This window comes from Homo sapiens, chromosome 4, assembly GCF_000001405.40.
Source record: "Homo sapiens chromosome 4, GRCh38.p14 Primary Assembly".
Classification (NCBI taxonomy): Eukaryota; Metazoa; Chordata; class Mammalia; order Primates; family Hominidae; genus Homo; species Homo sapiens.
The window spans coordinates 146,871,970-146,892,629 of NC_000004.12; the positions used below are offsets into that span (position 1 = coordinate 146,871,970).

Below are 20,660 nucleotides of genomic sequence, written 5' to 3' on the forward strand. Positions count from 1 at the left end.
CAAAGCACATTTCCCAATTTCAAAACTTACTACACAACTAGAGTAATAAAATCTATGTATTCTTGTAGTTGTAAGTTAGACAAGAGAGATCAAGGCAATAGAATTGAGAATCCAGACACAATCTCCACATTTATGGTCAAATGATTTTATGTAGGGTATCATTACAATGTATTGAGAAAAGAATAATGTTTTCAACAAGTAGTACTAGTACAATTGGATATCCACTTTCAAAATATGAAGTCGTACCCTCCTCACACCACATGTGCACACACACACACATGAAAATAGATGATAAGATTAAATATAGTTAAAACTAAAAACTCTTAAAGCATAGGAGTAAATCACTGTGACCTTGCATTGGTCAAAGCCTTCTTATTGATGATATCAGAAGCAAGAACAGCAAAAGAAAAACTAGACGAACTGAACTTTATCAAAATTAAAAACTTGTGCTTCAATGAATACCATCAGGAAGTGAAAATAAAACCCACAGAATAGGAGAAAATATTTTCAAATCGTATATCTGATGAAAGACTTGTATATAAAATATATACAGAATTCTTAAAACTCAATAATAAAAAAATAACCCAATTAAAACTGGGCAAAGAATCTGAATAAAAACGTCTGCCGAGAAGATATACAAATGGCCAAGAAGCACATGAAAAAAAATGCTCAATGTTACGGGCCAACAGGGAAATGCAAATAAAATCTAAAGTGAGATACCACATTACACCTACTAGGATGAGTATAATGAAGAAGATAAAAGTAAGAAGTGCTGCTGAGGAAATGGCTAAACTTAAACCCTCACATAAAACTAGTGGAAATGTTAAATGGTGAAGCCACTTTGGAAAACTGGCAGCTCCTCAATAAGTTGAACACAGTTATCATATAACCCAGCGATGCCACTCCTAAGCATATAATCAAGATCTTTGAAAAGTTGTACACAAATGTTCATTCCAGCATTATTCATAATAGGCAAAAGGTGGAAACAACTCATATGTCCATCATAAATGAATAAAGAAAATGTGGTATAACCATGCCATAGAAGGCGATTTGGCCCTATATGATGGATGAACCTTGAAAACATTATGTTAAGTAAAAGGTGTTGGCTGATGCTACACTTGTGCATTACATCAACGTACCCTAACAAAGGAATTGGCCAACGGTTGGTGTCAGTATCGCTTAAATACCATGTAAACCAATGTGAGGGGCATGCTTTATTCAGGTAATCATCAGCTTGCTCCTTCAGGCTCCCTGATCAAAGTAGGAGACAAGAGTAAAGGGATGCTTTGTCCCAGAATATTTACCCTCTTTAAGAGCTCTGTAAAGTATTGTGTAATCCTTTAACCTATGTACTTTCTTAGATGAAAAATGTGGGGACAAATATTTTTTGGTTTTAAAAGATATTAAAAACTATAACAGTGTAAGAAGTAAGTCTTCTCTTCTCCTGATCTGATCTTTGGTAAGAGAGAGATATTTTTTGAAAGAAGACTGCTTGACAGGCTCTGACTGTTGGAAGAGACCCAAGGAACTTTTCTTTCTTTGTGAACTACCTTAAAACTTAGCAAATGTAAACCTAAAGTAACATATCTTTTCCTAATCAATGCATTCCTTTTCATTGAAATTCCATGTAACTTTCCATGTGACTAAAGTTTGCTGCTGAAATTGATATAAGAGCTAACTCTGTGTTTACCCCTTTGGGGGAAGGTACTAGACCATTTATTCAAAAGCAGTTCATTTAATGAGATACATCTTTCAGGGGGTGATTTCCTGTGAGTATGTTGACTAATATTATTAAAAGAAGTTACAGGGAGACTAAGCTGTTTATTTTTCCTCTTTAGTAAATTAAAATTACACCCAGAAAATCAGTCCTGCTCACTCTTAATAAGCCATCTATTACTTAATAAACCAATCAATTAAATATATCCATAAGCTAATAAACTTTAGTTCAGGAGCATAACTTTTATCTTTTTCTCCTTCCTGAAAAGGCTACTCTAGTAATAATTTACTATATGGTAACAAAATATCTGTGCATTTCACAAATTAAAAGCTTATAAGAATATGCTCCAAATTTTTTCTTTATATTTTATACATACAGAAATGATATAGACTATGAAAGACATGAGCAGCTCTCATAGAAGCATTTTTACTGCTTTAAGTGTGCATATACATCACCTGGGTATCTTGCTAACCTGAGGATCCTGCTGCAGTAGGTCTGGGTTGGGACCTGAGACCCTGGCTGTTATAACATATTGAAGCTGCTGTTCCAAAGGCCACATTTTGAGAGGCAAAAAGGTCTCAAATATGTTACAGTCCTATTTTCCTGTTACTAATAACTAAATATATATCATATTTTCCTTATTACCTGACCATGGGGAATTTACAAACAATGAAAGGTCTCTAAGACTGCAAGGAATATACAACCACATACACACATGCGCATGCACACACACATGCTTAACTTTTGCAGATGATCTTACCTGCTCACTTTAGGTTCTTTGTTTTACAACACTACCCCCAGCGGATTGTAATTTTGGAGATAAAGCTTTCAGGAAACTAATGGATTTCTTGTTGTCAGCACTAAGGCACCTTCGTTTTACAGTGAAATTTGAAAGTAAATTGATGGCATTTGTCTTTGCATTTCATAGGAAATAATCACCCTAACACTTGACGATTTTTACTTCACTCTTGGGAGAAACAGTGTCTACCCATTAAAGAAAGCAATGTGAGAGAGTTCTTTTCCACCCACCTTCTTTGGCTATTTCAGAAGCTTTTATTAGAATTTTGATGGCCTGTTTGTATTCTTTATTTTCTAGCATTTTGTCTGAGAGTAATCTGTAAGTCCTCAGGAGACTCTCACAGGCCAACAAGTTGAGAGAGCGGCCTGTCTCATCCTTCCATATCCGCCCCTGTGTCAATTGATGGAATGCTTCATAATGCTCAGCAGCTTCCAGAAGCTGACCTGGAGAATAAAAGCCATTCATAAGTATAAACCAGAGGACGGAACGTATTTTCAGAAATTTTGCATACGTTTTAGCTTTATTATTCAATGGAGAAACACCGAGGATTATGGTGAAGGATTTCTAAGGCTGAAGATGAATTAAACTGGGAAAGGAGTGATCTCTAATTGGACCTCAGTTTCAGCGTGAATTTTAGATACACACCTGCAAGAGGGATGTACTCTGGCTAGTAGAAATTTACTGGGCTTGCATATGTTTAGAGAGGGTGTAAAAGGCCAGCAATATTTATTAATAGCCATCATATTGGCTAATATTTCTTTAACATTATGTATGCCATGCACTCTGCTGTGTGCTTTATATGCATTTCTCATTTAATCCTCAAAACAATCCAATGGAGTAGGACTGTTCTGATTTCATATTACAGAATAGAAAGCCAAAATTTAGTAAGGTTAAGAATTTTGCTCAAGATGGCAAGTCTGGTGCTATAACATCCAGGAAATCTAACTCTAGAGCTGATACTCTCAACCAATATCCTCTACTGCTTTTCCAACAGATGACAATTTCATCATTCTTTTTTTCTTTTCTTTTCACTCTGTCACTCAGGCTGGAGTGCAGTGGTGCAATCACAGCTTACTGCAGCCTTGAACTCCTGAGCTCAAGCGATCCTTCCACCTCAGCCTCCCAATTTCATCATTCTTAAAAAAGAATGCATCTGTTACAAACTTCAAATCCAAACATTATGGCGCCTTAAACTGCTTCTCAAAGTTTGACTGGACTTTCCAATGAGGTTTTTGTATATGCTGTTTAGTTTTGGATAATTAGAATGTAACTAACTGCCTTTTTGGATTTTACCCTATAATAAAATCCAAAATATATCTTCTCCAAGCTAAAATTCCAAATTAGCTGTAAGTAATTTCTTTCCTTAAAATATGAGCAAACATATTTCTGGAAGAATAGTTTGCAGCTCCATACAGTGGATTGTATTTTATTTGTTAATTGCCTCATGGGAATGCTCACAATATCCTGAAATGTAAATACTCTTTTATGGTATTGGAGTTACATAATTGGAATTGATACAAAGAACACTTATATCTAGGCACTCCAACCATAGTGGTTAAGAGTGAGTGTGGGCTCCGAGCAGACAGCCTGTTCCTAGCCCAGCTTTCCCAGTTTTTGTTTAGCCTCAGGCTAATTACTACTCTCTCTGTGCCTTACTTTATTCTTCTGCAAAACAGGATTACTGTGTAACTTTTTGAGGTACTATTGTGAGAAATGAATTCATGCATGTACAATTATATGTTACAGGGTAGGTGCTCAAGAAACACGGCTAATGTTATCAATTGGTACAGTAATAATATCTTCAGAAACTCCAGCAGGCAAATTGAAATATAGCCACTAATTTACCATGTTTATTAAGTATAACTTACTCTTCCCACAAAAACCAAAAATTAGTTGAGTCCCTATAATAATAACATCATGACATATTAAATTAACCTATGCAGGTTATATTAGACTCAATATCTTTCCTCAAATGAATTTCATTGAATAGTGTGGGTTGGAGCTACTTCCATGACTATTGCATATAATTTCTTCCTATTTGTTGCATTGAATTTGTTACCAGAATGAGTATTAAAGAATGCACATAGAAATAAGAATAGTATTCTCAAAGAAAAACAACCAGTGGTGGTGGATAATCAGTAAACGGTCTGTAGAAAAATTCAGTAGACAGGCCAGGCACAGTGGCTCACGCCTATAATCCCAGCACTTTGGGAGGCTGAGGCCTGTGGACCACGAGGTCAGGAGTTCAAGACCAGCCTGGCCAACATGGTGAAGCTCCGTCTCTACTAAAAATACAAAAAAGTAGCCAGCCATGGTGGTGCACACCTGTAGTCCCAGCTACTTAGGAGGCTGAGGCAGGGGAATCGCTTGAACCCAGGAGGTGGAGATTGTGGTGAGCCGAGATCATGCCACTGCACTCCAGCCTGTCAACAGAGCAAGACTCCATCTCAAAAAAAAAAAAAAAAAAAAGCAAAATTTAGTAGACATGGACAGTCTAAGTCCTTGCTGAGCCGTGCAGGAGGACATGTCAGCGAAGATACATACAGAAGGGGCAATGTGTACTGCAGACTTGTTTATAAATTTATATTATGAAACTTCACATGATAGGAGACTGCAGGCCATGAGTAGGATATTATAGAAGCCGATCTTGTTACATAAACAAGTGTTTATAATAAGTAAATATATTAGGAAACATAAAAAAACATTTAGAAAGCATTATCAGTGTTATGTCTGGGAGGTAGGATTATGGGTAACTTATGGTTTATTTTCTGATTTTCTGTTTTCTTTTTCTTGATTTTTTTTCTGTTTGCTTATTAGCATTTCCTAAAGTTTCTATCATCAAAGCATGTTTATTTTGTCATCAGGATATACAATGAAAGTTATTTAAGAAATAATGCTCAGTACCTTTTTCACATTGAGACCAATACTCAAGGTTGAAGTTCATGGCTCTAATCTATCTTTACTTTTAGCTGATATTTTTTCTTACCTTCCAGAAAAACAGGCATAGTTTTTCATCTCTCCCACGTAGCACCTCTTGCCAGAAACACCTTGCTCCAAATACCCATGACCCTCATTTTTTAAAACTAGAATGGAGCATTGACATATCTGTGTGTTATATTTCCTCTGTTAACTATATTTCTGCCTATGAAGTATAGCACTGTAGCCCTGGAAAGATGTATACAAGAGTTCCTTTTCTTTTTTCATCTAGCGTCCATCTATTCATAAAGTACAGACACATATTTCTTTTTGGCCATGTAAGTGGGGAGAAGGGATGTAGAATACTGTGAGAAAAACAGATAGTTCCAGAATAGATATGGATCATAAAGGAAATGAAGTTCTGGGTAACTCAATTAGAATTAGAGGCAAATGAGGTATAATGATGTAAATAGCAAATGAGAACTGATATCCATCTCCAAAATTTGATCTATATGGGGGCAGAAAGGGGAGGTGACAGGAGGGTCAAGTAGGAAAAGGAGAAGTGGAAGAAATCAGGACAAAATGGGAGGTGGGAAGAGTGGAGGGAAGGCTGGGGCTGTGTCTTCGTATTCCTTATCCGCCAGACGTCCTCTGTGTTACCTTACTGAGTCTTGGGTTGCTGTTAGGTGTCCTGGATAAGGCTGTCCAAGCAGGAATGAAGTGAGGATGGTCCTCAGGACACTGGTTTCAGCTGGTGACTACAGAAGGCAACCTTGGGATGGTTAGAAATAACAGTAGCTTTTCGGTTGGATTTGCTTTTTGCTAGAGCTTTCAGGGCTAGTATCAATATACTACTTAGTTCATGGTTATTGGCCAAAGTTCAGCTTTCAGAAGGGTCTATTTGGAGTCTTCCCTGAGGACGGAGCCTGAGATGCTTGGGTAAAAGAGAACAGTGACCTACTCTTTCCTGAAGGCCTATTAGGTGCTAGTCAAAATGCAAGGCTTTTCTCTCCCCTACACATTAACTTAATGAACATTCCAAAAACTGGTGAAGTATATATGATAGTTGCTTTTTCACTAAAGAGGAAACTGAGACTCACAAAGTTTACATGACTCAAATATATGCTCCAGAGTTTTCATAAGTGATGATTAGGATTTAAACCCAAGGTCACCAAAAGCCCACACAACTGGTTCCACCACATCAGATACTAGTCAACAGATCGAGAGCCAGGAAACTTAGGTGGAGTGAGTTAAATTCTCTGGACATGAATCTCTTGTGTTAAAAATAATGATCAAATTTGCATGATTCCTAGTCTCTTCCAGTTCTATAATTCTCTGACTTTGCTCAGGCCATCATAGGTCACCTCTAAGAAAAACACAGATGTGAGCCCCTAATGTGTTTCTGATTGGTCTTTCTGAAGAAACTGTTATATAACCAGCTATATCTGAATTCTCTGCTCTCTTCTAAGCCATGCAGTGACATCTGTGGGGGGCTCTGGAATTCCATGGGTACACTCGACTCAGGCACCTGTGGCCTCATCTCACTATTCATGGTTTCATTTCCCCTTGCTTCACCATTTTCCCACAGATGAGGTCAGTGGGGTCCTGATTAGTAGTATTTTAAATGGAGGTCCCTACTACACAGAAGCAGTTTTCCAGTCCTTCTCATATGTAGGGATTCATTTCTAAAAGTATTTGGTGGCAGTAAATAAGCCAGCAAGAAGATAAGCCAGCAAAGATTTGATCCAAATGACCACAAGCACACAAATGACTTATCTGCAATTTCTAAAGGCTGGCCAGAATTTAAAGCATATATTATGATATAGTAGAATATTTGATTTAAAAATATTAAAAGATATGCCCATGCTATGAAGAGAGCATAATAATTTAAATATGCAAGCATTTCCCTTTAAGCATGATTAACAATGATATGATTTCCATCCAATTTCTATTTCCAACTGTGAATTGGATTTTTAAAATCATCTTATTTTCTGAGTAACGGTTCTGATATTAAGACTAGATATTTATTAAGACATAATGCATACTGCTTTTAACTGAAAATTTTAAATTCAATTTACCTGAGAGAAATATTATAAAAGACCTCAATATGGTGATCACTTTTACTAAGCTAAATATAAATATCAATGTAGATAATGAATCAGATTTTCTAACATGGCTTATAGCATTCCTTTATAACTTCTACAAAGCTTTCATATTTAGTGTACCTTTTGGCACCAAATAAACTTTAACACAGCAGGATCTAGAAATCTCACTTGGTTCTGATGTCAATCTTTTAGAAGGACAAGAACAAGTGTTTAAGTGTCCAAGGACTGTCCTCCTCTGGAATTATCAAGTGTTGACATTATTTTCCATCAAGGAATAGGGACAGCAAAAAGTGGAATAATTTTACCAACGTATCACAAATACAAAGGTTAACAGAAAACAGGACAAAAAAAGAAGGCCTGGGGACTATTCACAGGTATTAAAGTCTTTGTAGGGGAAAGTGAGTTTTATCATGGTGCACCAGGAATCACCCACAAATCTTCATCATCACTGTGAGTAACCAGATCACAGTGGTAACCACAGTAAGGAAGACACACTAACTGCTGAATTAAAGGCCTGCATGCATGGCTCTATACCAAGCAAAAGTCCAGATAGTCCACCAACATTTCATGTGAACCAGGGAAGAAAATAGAGCCAAAATGTTTTGTTGGAGAGGCTGGGGATTGCCCTCCACAAATACCCTTAGTAGTCAATTTATTTCAATAATACGAAGTAGGATCAGAAAACACAGCTTAGGAGAACACTGTGAACAACTGCATCAAACAAGAGTATCCAGGTATGAACAGAAATAGCCTAAGCCTCAGTTTTGTTTTGTTTATCAATTATATGACATCTACATAAACAATGAGGAGTTTGGCATGCATTTATAGTTTTTTACCTAAAGGAACAAGCACTCAAAATAAAACTACTACAAGGGAGTTTTACTTTATCTAAAGCCCACACAAACAAGAAATCTATCCGTTTATTTAAAAATACAAACAAAACCCAAACAATGTTGTAAACTGCAAAATGCTTGGTAGAATGTTAAGACAAACACGATGTAGGGAAAATAAGATTTTATATAGTTGGGTATTATCCAAATTGTTGCTTACCCTCTTCCCTGCACAACATCTTTGCAAGTTTATAGATATTTGTTGTATCACAGCAGATGTCTAGAACAAATATTAAGCAAAGGAGAATGTATATGATCTCTCCCATTTTAGCTTTTTTTTAAAGTAGGAAGATTGACTAGATATTAACACAAATGGGTTTAAATGTGAAGCTGCCATAAAGGCAGGAACATAAATGTAATTCTCCCAGCCGCTATTTTGATGCACATTTTTGATTCTATGAATATTTTATGAAATGGCCCAAACTAAAGCCATATAACATTCCTGTATTACTGATGCTTGCGCCCGTAAGCTACGAACATTAGAGGCATGATTGAGTGCATTAAAATGAACTCATTCAGCAGTGCATTGATTACTTGAAGGGGGAGGGAAACAAAAAAAGAAAAAAAAGGAAAAAAAGAAGTTGCTCCACTTAAGAAAACAGCATACAAATCTAAAGTTTGCAACGCAATAAGGGCAAAAGCAAGTTTAAATAAAATAATATCTCATAAATACAGCATGACTCTGTCCAGATCTGACATTAATTAGACAAGGTGTTAATTATGTCCAAAGATGGCTGCTGGTATTGTTCAGGTAATTTAAAATGTCACAATCTCTAAGACGCATAGACTGGTCTGTTTTAGCTCCATGCATCAGCAATTCTGAAAATAGCTAATTATTTCCTTTTCTATCGACTTGTACATTTGCCAGTAAAAACAATGCTGCAGAAACAATTGCATAAAAATAATTTGACAGATCCATAAGACCTATTTCTTCAGCAGCACTGGTATAAGTCTTAAGCATATTTAGTTCAAAATTGTGCACATTTGCTGAAGACTTTAGGGAAATATTCCACTTTAGTTTAAAACAACAACCTAAAGGAACAATAAAGCTTTACGTGTATTATATTACATTTTAATCTAGAGCTACTGGACATCTTTGGTGTAAATTACTATTCTGTACAACATAGAGATAAAATCTGCTAGAAGCAATATTGAACAGTAGCAAAAAGGGAAAAATGTTATTGCCCCTTTGCAAAAACAAAAGACACTGCTTTCCATTTTGGCTTAACTGCATGAACAATTTATATTATCTTTAGGTTTTTACATTTAATTATGATAATTATAACGGCACTACACATGCTGAAATAGTTAAGGGCTTGCCACACTTCCAACAGAAACTATCACTTTCAAGGGTTTATCTCCTGTCACAAGAGATTTGTTGTGCACTATAACCCACTGCACACCATTGCAAAATGGAACACTGGAAAACAAAGATTTTGTTCTGTAACTCAATAGCATCCCTAATACACTGAGAAGAAAATGTGCCCATAACTTTTGAGTAGCTACTTTTAGATATTTAGATGAAATATAAGATGCTAGTTTAAAAACGGAATCCTCTCTTTGTCATTTGGAGTGCTGATTTCAAATGGACGTTATAGGAATGCTACCCCACACCAGTTAAAGAGTATCGGTCATATTGACCAGACAATGTAAAGAATCCCATGTAGACAGGTTTGGGAGAACCTCACCCAGGGTTTTATTACTGATGATGGAAATAAAAGTTCATTTTTTTAAATCCAGAAAATTTGCCTAGATCTCCAAAATATTCCGGAGGAAGTGTTATTAATTGTTGCTGCTTATGATTTTAGATAGCTGAATTGTGGCCAGTGAGCAAGTCTGACTGCTCTTGGCCAATAAACCTCCCACAGTTGGTTTCAATCTAAGTTTTGTAATTTCTAAAGATAAGCATTAGGCAGCTTTACTCTTAAAAGAGCATAATTGGAGGTATCAAAGTTACTCAAAAAATTTATTGAAAAATGTAACGTGTATAATGTATAAAAAGTAAGGAATTTATATTAGCCATTTTGAAACTTGTATAGTTGGTAGTCGACTATTTTCCTCATATAATAAATTGTTTTACTTTAATGTTCCCACCTTATCTTAAAATACTAACTAAAAAGTGTCGATAGGTATAAACATCTGAGGATAAATAAAGTTAATATTGACATTAGATCAACTATTGAATTATATTTGCACAGGCTTTAATCAATAATGTAATTTTTACTTGAATTATATATTGCTCATGATTTTATATAAAGCACACTCAATTTGATTTCTATATGTTTATGTGAGCAAAGAGAAAGGTGCGGAAGCATCTATGCCGAAGTATCAGTATTGATTATTGAAGATGGTGACGAGGAGAGTGAGGAGAGTTAACTTTCCCCCTCCACTTCTTTGTTTTGATGGATGATTAACGTGTTATTTTGGATATTACGACAAAACCCAAAAAACTGAAAATAAGATATTTAGATGAGTATGGAGGGAGAGAAATAATGTTGGTTGAACTTCTACTATGTGCCAGGCGTGACACTAGCTGCTGCTCTCTCTCTCTCTCTCTGTGTGTGTGCACATGTGTGTATGTGTCTGTCTGTGTATAACCTTACTTCATCACCCTCAGGTGTTAGTATATTTTTGAGATGAGGAAACTGAGCCTCAGGAATTCTCTTGCCTAAATTCACATACTCAGTAGGTGGTGAATCAATGTCCAAAGTCTACTGTGACTTTACTTCTTCAGGGTCACTCCCCTTTTTAGAAAATGGGTCAAGTATTTAACTTCAAAGCCAGAGACCAGGTTTTGGCCATCTGCCCCAGTGATATCATTGGACCATTCACACACTACTTCTGAGCTTCCTTTCCTTAAGAATTCTGAAGTATGGGTAACTATGCCAAGCTCCAGATGTAGTTGCAACGGGTGCGGAAACAATTGTTAGCACCTTGCTCAGTGCCTGGTGCCTCACAGACATCCAATAACTTTTCACGTGGAGTTATATAGTTTCTTTTTGTTTTTTTTTCAAGTTTGCAATTTGTTGTGAATCTGGATGGGCCTTTTATAGGGAATACCCCTGTTAAAGGTTATGGAATAATATCAGTTTTTCAGATTAAATGCCAGTTGAGGCACTAATTGGAAACAGCACACTTCATCCAACTCTAACACAATAAATAATCCTTACACTCCTGGTCAGTTGTACCTCTGAAGAGATATTTTAGGGGCAGTGCCTCTTCCTAGACAGAGGAAATACTGCCTCCTGAACAGTTTATTCAGTGTAGCAAGAACTGTGGGCTCGGTGCAACTATTCAAGATCTCCTTGCAAAGCTTTGAAAAAAGAAAAACCTGCTGCAGAGCAGGCACCTTTGAATGAGGCTTCCTCTCCGTGCTACTCGTTAAGCAGTAAATAATTAAAACACCCTGAAAAAGACAGGTAAAATACAAGCAGCAATGTCAGTATCACAGACATGAAAGAGAAGGGGAAGAAAATGAATTGAAAAAAAAGAAGCAATGAAATAATTCATTTGAAGCTCTAATAAAGTTTCATTTGCAGTCTTGTTTAAAGATATATCAGACTTTAGGGATGTAACCCAATTACATTTTTATTCTAAATTCCATTCAAAGATCTTGGACTTTGATTCTTTAACATAGATCAAACATGGTATAATTTTCTTGTGGCTATCAATACTTAAAAAGGATCTCTTCATTAAATACTATAAGGTCTTATGAACATGTACACATAGTAGATGAAGAATAAACTGACATGCCCCAAAAAGTGACAATTAATTTATGTAGAAATAGGAATGCTAATCCACTTCTTTAAGAAAGTTTCTAACTATCAAATTCACTTTCATTCAACTATAAAGTGACTCAGTTTCTAACACTGGTCTAGTTGGACGCACCTTCGAAAATGTTTACTAGGGTTGGCTTTCTAAATCCATTCTTGGAATTTACTCTGAAAAATGAAGTGTGCATATAGTGGCAGTGGGAAGTAGTTAGCCTCTAAATCACACAGACATTAAAGAGGAGGTGCTTTCAAGAGACCTGCAGTTTGAGTGTTAGTGAAGGGTATATTACAATCATCAATGCTTTACACTTAGGAACTAGTTTGATTGGCTTTATTCCATGTTGTTACTAGGAAGCCTGAATGGAATAATGTGTTTGCTCTTCCAGGGAATCTTTTTGGAAAAATTTCCTCCAGAGGGACTTTTAAGATGCAAATTTGGAAGCAGTTTACAAATGGGGGAAATGAACAAGTAGGATTTATTTTTTGACTATGAAGAGAAAAAATGCTCCCAAGGAACTTGCTTAGTTGTACAAAAGGTGTAACGAGACTGGAAAGTACACTAGGATTTAACACCCAGATAGAGAAACCTACAGAGAGCTTTGGTCATGACTCAGCTGCAGCCATTAGGAGTTCTTGCTGGAGTTTTTTGTTTGTTTGTGTTTTAATTTAATAAGATGTCCTTTATCAGTTTATGCCATTTTCTCTTGCAACACCCTGTACATAAAGGAGGCTTTATTGTTAAAAATTTTTTAATATGATAGTAATTAAAATAGAAAATAAGAGTTATTTAAAACCAAAAATAACCATACTATGCTTGTCAAAATCTATTGACAGCAAACAAAGATGTTATTATCTCATACATGAATACAATACCAGATTAAGAAAGGCAAAAGAAAATTTTCACATTCACTCTATTTAAGGTGACCAGCTCAAGTTTACCCAGGGCTTTCCTGGTTCTAGCAACCAAAAATCATGAGTCTTGAGAACCTCCTCAGTCCCAGGCAAATTAGGGTGACACTACCCTATAACTGACCCAAAATAACAAAAGATTTTGAAAATGTAATGCAATAAAGCAAAAAAAAGGATATTTAGCAAAAATAAAATGCAATATAAGTTTACTTATTTTGAGGGCAAAAATATATTGGCATGAATGAAACAATACAGGAAAAATCTTAAGTATTGCTGACAACACCATTAATCACTCAAAATGTACTTATTTTGGTCAAGTTTCATTCTATTCTGTTATATATCCATGCATAATTTTTACACAGTTGTAAAGAATTGAATACAAATTTTCTACGTATCTAGATTATTTTATTAGAACGACATTCCATATTATTTATTTTCATAATCATATTTTAAAAGGCTGTGCAATATTTTTGGGGGGATATACACTTTAATCATCTGTCTAGTGCTCAGGTATTTAGATTACTTCTTTAAGTAATGTTTTTAACTATCTTAACATTTTTAGAACTGGAATTGATACATAAGGGAGTGTGGCAAATTTTATGATTGCTAGGTTGGCGCAAAAGTAATTGCAGTTCTTCAATTAAAAGTAGTGGTAAAAATTACAATTACTTTTGCACTAACCTAAAACCACTTACCATATTACTTTCCAAAACCATTTAAATGATTCACATCATCATGAGCAGCAATACACATGTGTTACTTTAAGAAATCGTGATTACTTTTTTGTCCCTATTATAAGAAGTGTTAAATGGTTCTTTATAATCATTCAATTTGATTTTTAGGAAGTTGGTTATTTTTCTATGTATTCATTACTTTCCATATTTCATCTTTGGTGAATTTTCTGTATTTTTGCCATTAAATTATAGTTGCCAACATTTTTCTTACCAATTGATGGATACATTAAAAGTTACTAAATCTGTATTATATATAATGCATATAAAGTTAATTTTTCTCTTTTTCCCTACCTCCTGCCCTATATCTGAATACTGATGCTGTCTCCTCTGCTGTAATGTCTGATAATCATCCTTTCTTTCAATTTATTCAGCCACATTCCAACCCATTCTCTTCACCAGTCTGAATGCCTCCTGTATCTTCCTTCTGCTTTTTATTTCCTCTGTTGTAGGTTACGTCACCCACATTTGTTGAACAGCCCAATTCATATGACAAAAAACCTGTTAGAAATCCGTCCAATCCTGTCTCTTCCCACTGACTCAGTTTGCTAATCTGTTTCTCCTCAACTTTGCTCTCCACATCTATTAACCTTCACGGATTTAGTTTTCTTAAAAAACCATCCTTTATAATGCATAATCTGAATAGACTAAAATGGCATCAAGGATTAAGTAATGAGGGAGTTATGTGCTGGACCCACTGATAGAATGGGATACTCATTGAACACGACATGGGAAGCGTGGGCTAGGGTAGGGCTGAGGAGAGAAGGCCTGATAAAGGCAAATGGCCAGAACTGTTGGCAAATGAAAGAGGACATTAAAAAGGAAATTTTTTTAAATTTATAATTTTTCCTGGGTGAGTCCTATATCAGAAGCCTTTTCTTATCATACTTTTAATAAAATAAGACAAGAACAAAAAACTCAGAAGGTTGACTTTGTAAGGTCTCTGCTGAGCAAATCCTTGCATAAGGAGATGGTGTTGGGTAGTGGAAAAAAACAGTGAATCTAAGATCTAAAGACACAGGTTTCCATCCCGGCTCTGACATGTTTTAGTTGTCATTTAATTTTATTCAGCCTTAAAAAAGATGAGAATTTTGCAATATGTGACTTGGATGAACCTTGGGACATAATATTAAATGAAATAAGCCAGTCACAGAAGGACAAATACTTCATGATTCCACTTACTTGAGGTATCTAAAATAGTCAAACTCATAGAAGCAATGAATAGAATGGTAGTTGCCAGGGGCAGGAGGGAGGAGTTGATGGGAAGTTGCTAATCAATGAGTATAAAACTTCAGCTATGCAAGATGAATCAGTTCTACAGACCCTCTGTACAACTTTGTGCCTATAGATAATAATATTTATTGGGAACTTAAAAATCTTTTGAGGATAGATCTCATTAAGTATTCTTACCACAATAACATAAAAAAGAAACAAAATAACCTCTTAGTATCCTAGTTTCTGCTTCCTTAAAATGAGGATGATATGCATGCATGAAAAAAATACTCAGTCTCCATCAATATACTTTCTTATGTGTTACTGCCATTATGTAGCTTGTAGATACATCTGACTTGTTGTAAGTTTGTCTAAATGTTACCGTTAAATCAGTTTGAAAATCATGTGTAGAGATTGTTTGTGTTTATTTGTGTAGAGTATGATAGGGAGAGGGGAAAAGGGCCTGATATGGATATTAGGAGCTCTGGATTCAAGTCTAGCACCGGCTGCTAACCTTATGGCCATGGCAAAATTGTTCAATTACAGTGCTTCAGCTTAATACTTATCTATCAAATTAGGGTTTAGACTAGATTACTTTGAAGATCCAATATGACTCTAAAATTCATTTGTCTAAAAGAATTGAACATAAATTCTCAACCCAGTTTTAAACAATTGAGGACTATTTTACAATTTGCTAAATCCATCTCCACATGTTATTCCATAGACACTAGGTTTTCCTGACCCTTAGTGCCACCCTTACAGCATCTCTTCTTGGACATCAATTTTTAGGGATCATAAGCACTTATGAACAATTAATCACCAGAGAACAATTCTTCCTTCTTCTATTTCCCACCCAAGCTACTGTTCTTCAAAGTGTTACCTCATTTGTATGCAGTGGCCCAGCATCAAAGTGGAACAATAGGGACAAGCAGAAAAGCCTTCATGCTCCCCGAGACAAAGAGAATATGTGCTGAGGAGACACTGCACACACAACAGTGATCTTACCACTTGGAAAGGCAATGGGGAAGTTATTAATGGAGCAAAGCTTCCCCACTCTGTATGTGTTTAATGTTCTGAGGACAAAGATATGAAACTCTTGAACACAAGTGGAGTAGGTGGTTTCGTTTTTTAATCAAAGACACAAGTCCCAAAAAAGAATAGTTTAAAGTTTTGCTAGACTGCTTTGTGGTAGATTTGCATCCTCTACGTAGAACTACAGAGAGAACCTGGAGGACATAAACAATGGAGCAGAGAGATTACCAAGATAAAATGTCAGGAGTTAAAGGGAAGAATGAGATATGATGAAGAGAGACGCTAAAGGAAGGTAAAGAGCAGACCAGGTGGGGAAGCATTGAATGGGTTCGCTAACATGGAGCTTCTCACCCCTGCAGCCCTGGGCTTCCTATGCTGGTCTGCCTGAGGTCATTCACCAGTTTTACATGGGGATTCACTGAAATTGCTGCTTGTAGACCTAACACTGGGTTACAACAGTATAGCTAACTCTTCCTAGCCCTGGAAGTGAAAAGAGAAAGCAGCATTTATACAGGCCCATGTGCCAAGCAGAGCACTAGACACTTTACTTATCACATTTAGTTTCAAAACAATTATCTGAAGGACTAGAATTTTTTTTCTAATAATTAAAGAGAGGTACAAAGAAGTTAATATTAGGCTCCTTCTCTGCTTTTCATAAAGTGACATTTTTCTCCCCCTAATTAGTAAATAATTTGACACACAGTTTTTAATTACTAATCATTCTTTTTTTATGACTGATCTTTCAATAATCATTTAAGCTGCCATAGAAATCAGAGCTGGAGGTGAACTAAGAGCAGACAGCGTCTGCTCCAACTCCCTCATTTTAGAGCTGAGGGAAGCAAGATCTACGATGATTAAATAACTCACCTAGATTTACATAGTTAATTAGCTAATGGCAGTGTCAAAAGAGAGTCTAGGTTTACTACCCAGTCTAACACATTTTTCCACTGCTACACTTGAGTGATGCTCAAATGTCATTTTAAGTAACAAGGCCAAGATATACATTCAACATCTATCAACTCTCCTTAATTTAACCCCCATGTATGAATTTGCAGGTTTCTAATTTATTTTTATTCAATATTTGTGTCCTTTATTTTTAATATCCCTTACTGCCTAAAGACCATTCAATCCATGGTTAATTAACATTCCCCCACCCAAAACATATTGTCTACCTCATTAATAGTGTTGTGATTAGATCCACAATAATTCTTTAATCTTCATGATTATCTTTTACCAGCTGTAAAAACCTAACCCTTTCAATAATTTGTAATTTAATGAGATTTCTAAAATTAGCTAGTTTTAAAAAATAATACTTAAAATAATTTTTAAAATTATAACTAAACAATACATGCACAAAGTAACCAATCCTAACAGTGTGAAAAGGAATAATAAATCTCCCCATAATTTTGCATCATCAATGCCCTTCTCCAGAGGCTGTCCTGGTTAAGATTTTGTGTATTTGATGGGTTTTAAATCCTCTCAATAGCACTTACATCTCTATTAATTTTTAATAAAATGAAAGAGAAAATAAAATACCACACTAAAAACTGATATGTCCTTTGCATTTCTTTTAGTTATTAAGGCTGTTTTTCTAATAAACTGGCAAATGTTATTCCATGACAAATAAGAAATTACAATGAAATTTTGATCAATTTTGATGTGACATCTTTATGTTAAATATGTTTTTACCTTTTTTGGAGAACTGAATATTGTGATAATCAACCTCACTTCAAATGCCAAAAAATAAAGTGATATTTACAATGCAATAAAGAATGAGGTAAAAAGTAAAAACTCTAGAAAAAATTTTTATATGAGATATTAGTTTTTGAAAATCATCTTTTATTATTTTAGATAGTATTCAATTGATCACCATGCACATAATTGTTTTTTATGTGTAGAGCTTAAAATGAAGAAACATTAAATTTCTCATATATATTGAGTCATGCCACTCCACCATTGGTATATTTCTTTTTTTTATTTCTGAAATAACATCTTTGGTTACTTAAGGAAAAACATTGACACCACATTGAATATTATATTAGTTTCCTGGAGCTGTCATAAAAAAGCAGCACAAACTGGGTGGCTTAAACAACAAAAATTTATGGTCTCACAGTTCTGGAGGCTGAAAGTTCAAACTCAAGGCGTCAGGAGGGTTTATTCCTTCTGAGGTCACATTCATAAGTACTGGGGGTTAAGAGCTCAACATCTTTTAAGGGTTTACAATTCAACTCATAATAAACATGGTTGAAAAAGTTCTCTAAACTGAGAAAACAAAAGTACCACCAATGTATAGGGTAGTAGTCCCATCTTACTTGTGGGGCTATAAGAGCTTCCAGCCCTCACATGAGAAGCAGGGCGAGGCATGGGGAGCATGTGGGACTCATGACAGGAGGCTGAGGGCTGGAGGTAGAAAGGCCCACCCCACCCAGCAAAGAGATAACTAGAATCACAGACACGGTTACAAGTGAGGTGCACCTGGGAGCCCGTGCCCATGGTGAACCTGAGGTCAAAGCAGAGAGGAGACAGGGCCAAAGACAAGCCTTGTGTAGGGATAGTCATCAGAGGCTTCACAGCAGGAAGGCTTCATTTGAAAAAATGAAATCTGGCTTCTATGATTGGGCCTAATGCCCAGATGGCTGAATATTCCCCTCACACATAGAGGGCCTGGGCTTTGTGGGGTAGAATCCATCACTGGGAAAGCTGTCACAAGACACTGGGTTTGCTCCAGAAGCCAGAAAGTTCTCTGGTTTATGCACACTTCAGCCTGTTTCTTTTGTTTGTTTGTTTTCTGTTTTTTGTTTTTTGCTTTTTTTTAATGCCAATGGGAGCAGAGTTCAGCTCACATGGTTGAGTTTGGTGGTCTCCTTTAACTAGTGGGGGAGCTATTGGAAGAGACATAATATCAAGGATGAAGTCTGATGTCTGGCAGATGGTGGATTCACAAATATGGAGTACATAGAGGGATACGGAAGGGAAAGTACAAGAGAAGGAAACCAGACTGACAACAGCAATGATGATGAAGGGGCTCAGAAGTTTATTAGTCAAACTTCCAGGTAGATGAGTAGAGCAGAGCCAAAAACTCTACCCTAAACTACTAGTTCACAGTGACTATGCTGATGCCTAGAGGTTTGTCCTGATCAGTTCCGAAATGTGTTGCAAGGATTTTCTTATAGCAATAAACAACCAAAGTTTTTGAATGATTTACTTTTTAAAATATATAATGTTGATTTATCATTATCCACTTAAAAAATGTTAATTACTCTTGTTTGTTTGATTTCCAATGTGCTTTCTAGGTGGGGGAGAAAGGCTATAGAGCTATAGGTAGCACATAACCTTCAGCCTATTTTACTTTGACCGTAGCCAATAATTAGTGATGGTGTTTACTTCTGCTTTGGGGGACAGTGTTTGTCTTAATCTCAGAATTCTCATAGGAATATTATCTAAGTCAATGCAGACAAACATATTTGTTGCTGTGACAGAAAATGTTGAAACCATCACCATCATGTACAACATCAAGGCTCTGACGCTGGGCAGCTGGGAGATAAAACACAGGATATTAGAAGCCCACAGACATTGGGTGGTGACAAGGATTACAGGGACTTTTGATGTTGATATTACTCCTTGGCCTGGGCAGATACTGGTGTGCTTTTAGGTCACCAAATATTTCTGCAGACAGAACCATGCTGAGGCACAGCCAGAGCACGAGTGTCTTGGGACATACAAGTCTTTCTGAAGCAGTTCTTCAGCAATGGAGCCTCTTTGGGGAATGCTCACAGACATTTAGAAGATGTTTCTAGTTGTATGGAATTATTGCCTGGGATATGGCTCAAGTGGAACTGGGTGAGAGATGCTTTCAGGGTAGATTATCTTGGGGAAAGCAGTTCAGGCACCCCTGATGTCTAAGTGGATACTGTAAGGACTCTGTTAAGTATCTTTATGTGACTGAGTTTCTGAGATGTCTGTGATACGGTTTAGATCTGTGTCCCCTCCCAAATCTAATGTCAAATTTTAATCCTCAGTGTTGGAGGAGGTATCTGGTGGGAGGTGATTGGATCATGGGGGCAGACTTCCCCCTTGCTGTTCTCATGATAGTGAGTGAGTTCTCATGAAATCTGGTTGTTTAAAGTGTGTAGCAGTTCCCCCTTAATTCTCTCTCTCCTGCTCTACCATTTGAAGATGTGCCTGCTTCCCCTTTACCTTCTGCCATGATTGTGAGTTTCCTGAGGCCACCACAGCCATGCATCCTATACAGTCTGTGGAACTGTGAGTCAATTGAACCTCTTTTCTTTATAAATTACCCAGTCTCCATGCAAGGCTGGTTCAACATACGCAAATCAATAAATGTAATCTAGCATATAAACAGAACCAACGACAAAAACCATACGATTCTCTCAATAGATGCAGAAAAGGCCTTTGACAAAATTCAACAACGCTTCATGCTAAAAACTCTCAATAAATTAGGTATTGATGGGACGTATCTCAAAATAATAAGAGCTATCTATGACAAACCCACAGCCAGTATCATACTGAATGGGCAAAAACTGGAAGCATTCCCTTTGAAAACTGGTACAAGATA

At 36.2% G+C, this 20,660-nt stretch overlaps 1 protein-coding gene across 13 annotated transcripts in view; it reads right to left on the reverse strand.

Annotated features, from left to right (window-relative positions):
- The window catches only part of TTC29 (tetratricopeptide repeat domain 29), a 239,248-nt gene that overhangs the window by 165,353 nt on the left and 53,235 nt on the right, over positions 1-20,660 (reverse strand). For all 13 annotated transcript variants that reach the window (NR_133922.3, NM_001317806.3, NM_031956.4 and 10 more), the window contains one exon: positions 2,747-2,959. Coding sequence is in view for 12 of the 13 variants with exons in the window: in NM_001317806.3 (NP_001304735.1) it covers positions 2,747-2,959 (213 nt within the window). In the remaining variant the exon portion in view is untranslated. The remainder of the gene's footprint in view (positions 1-2,746; positions 2,960-20,660) is intronic.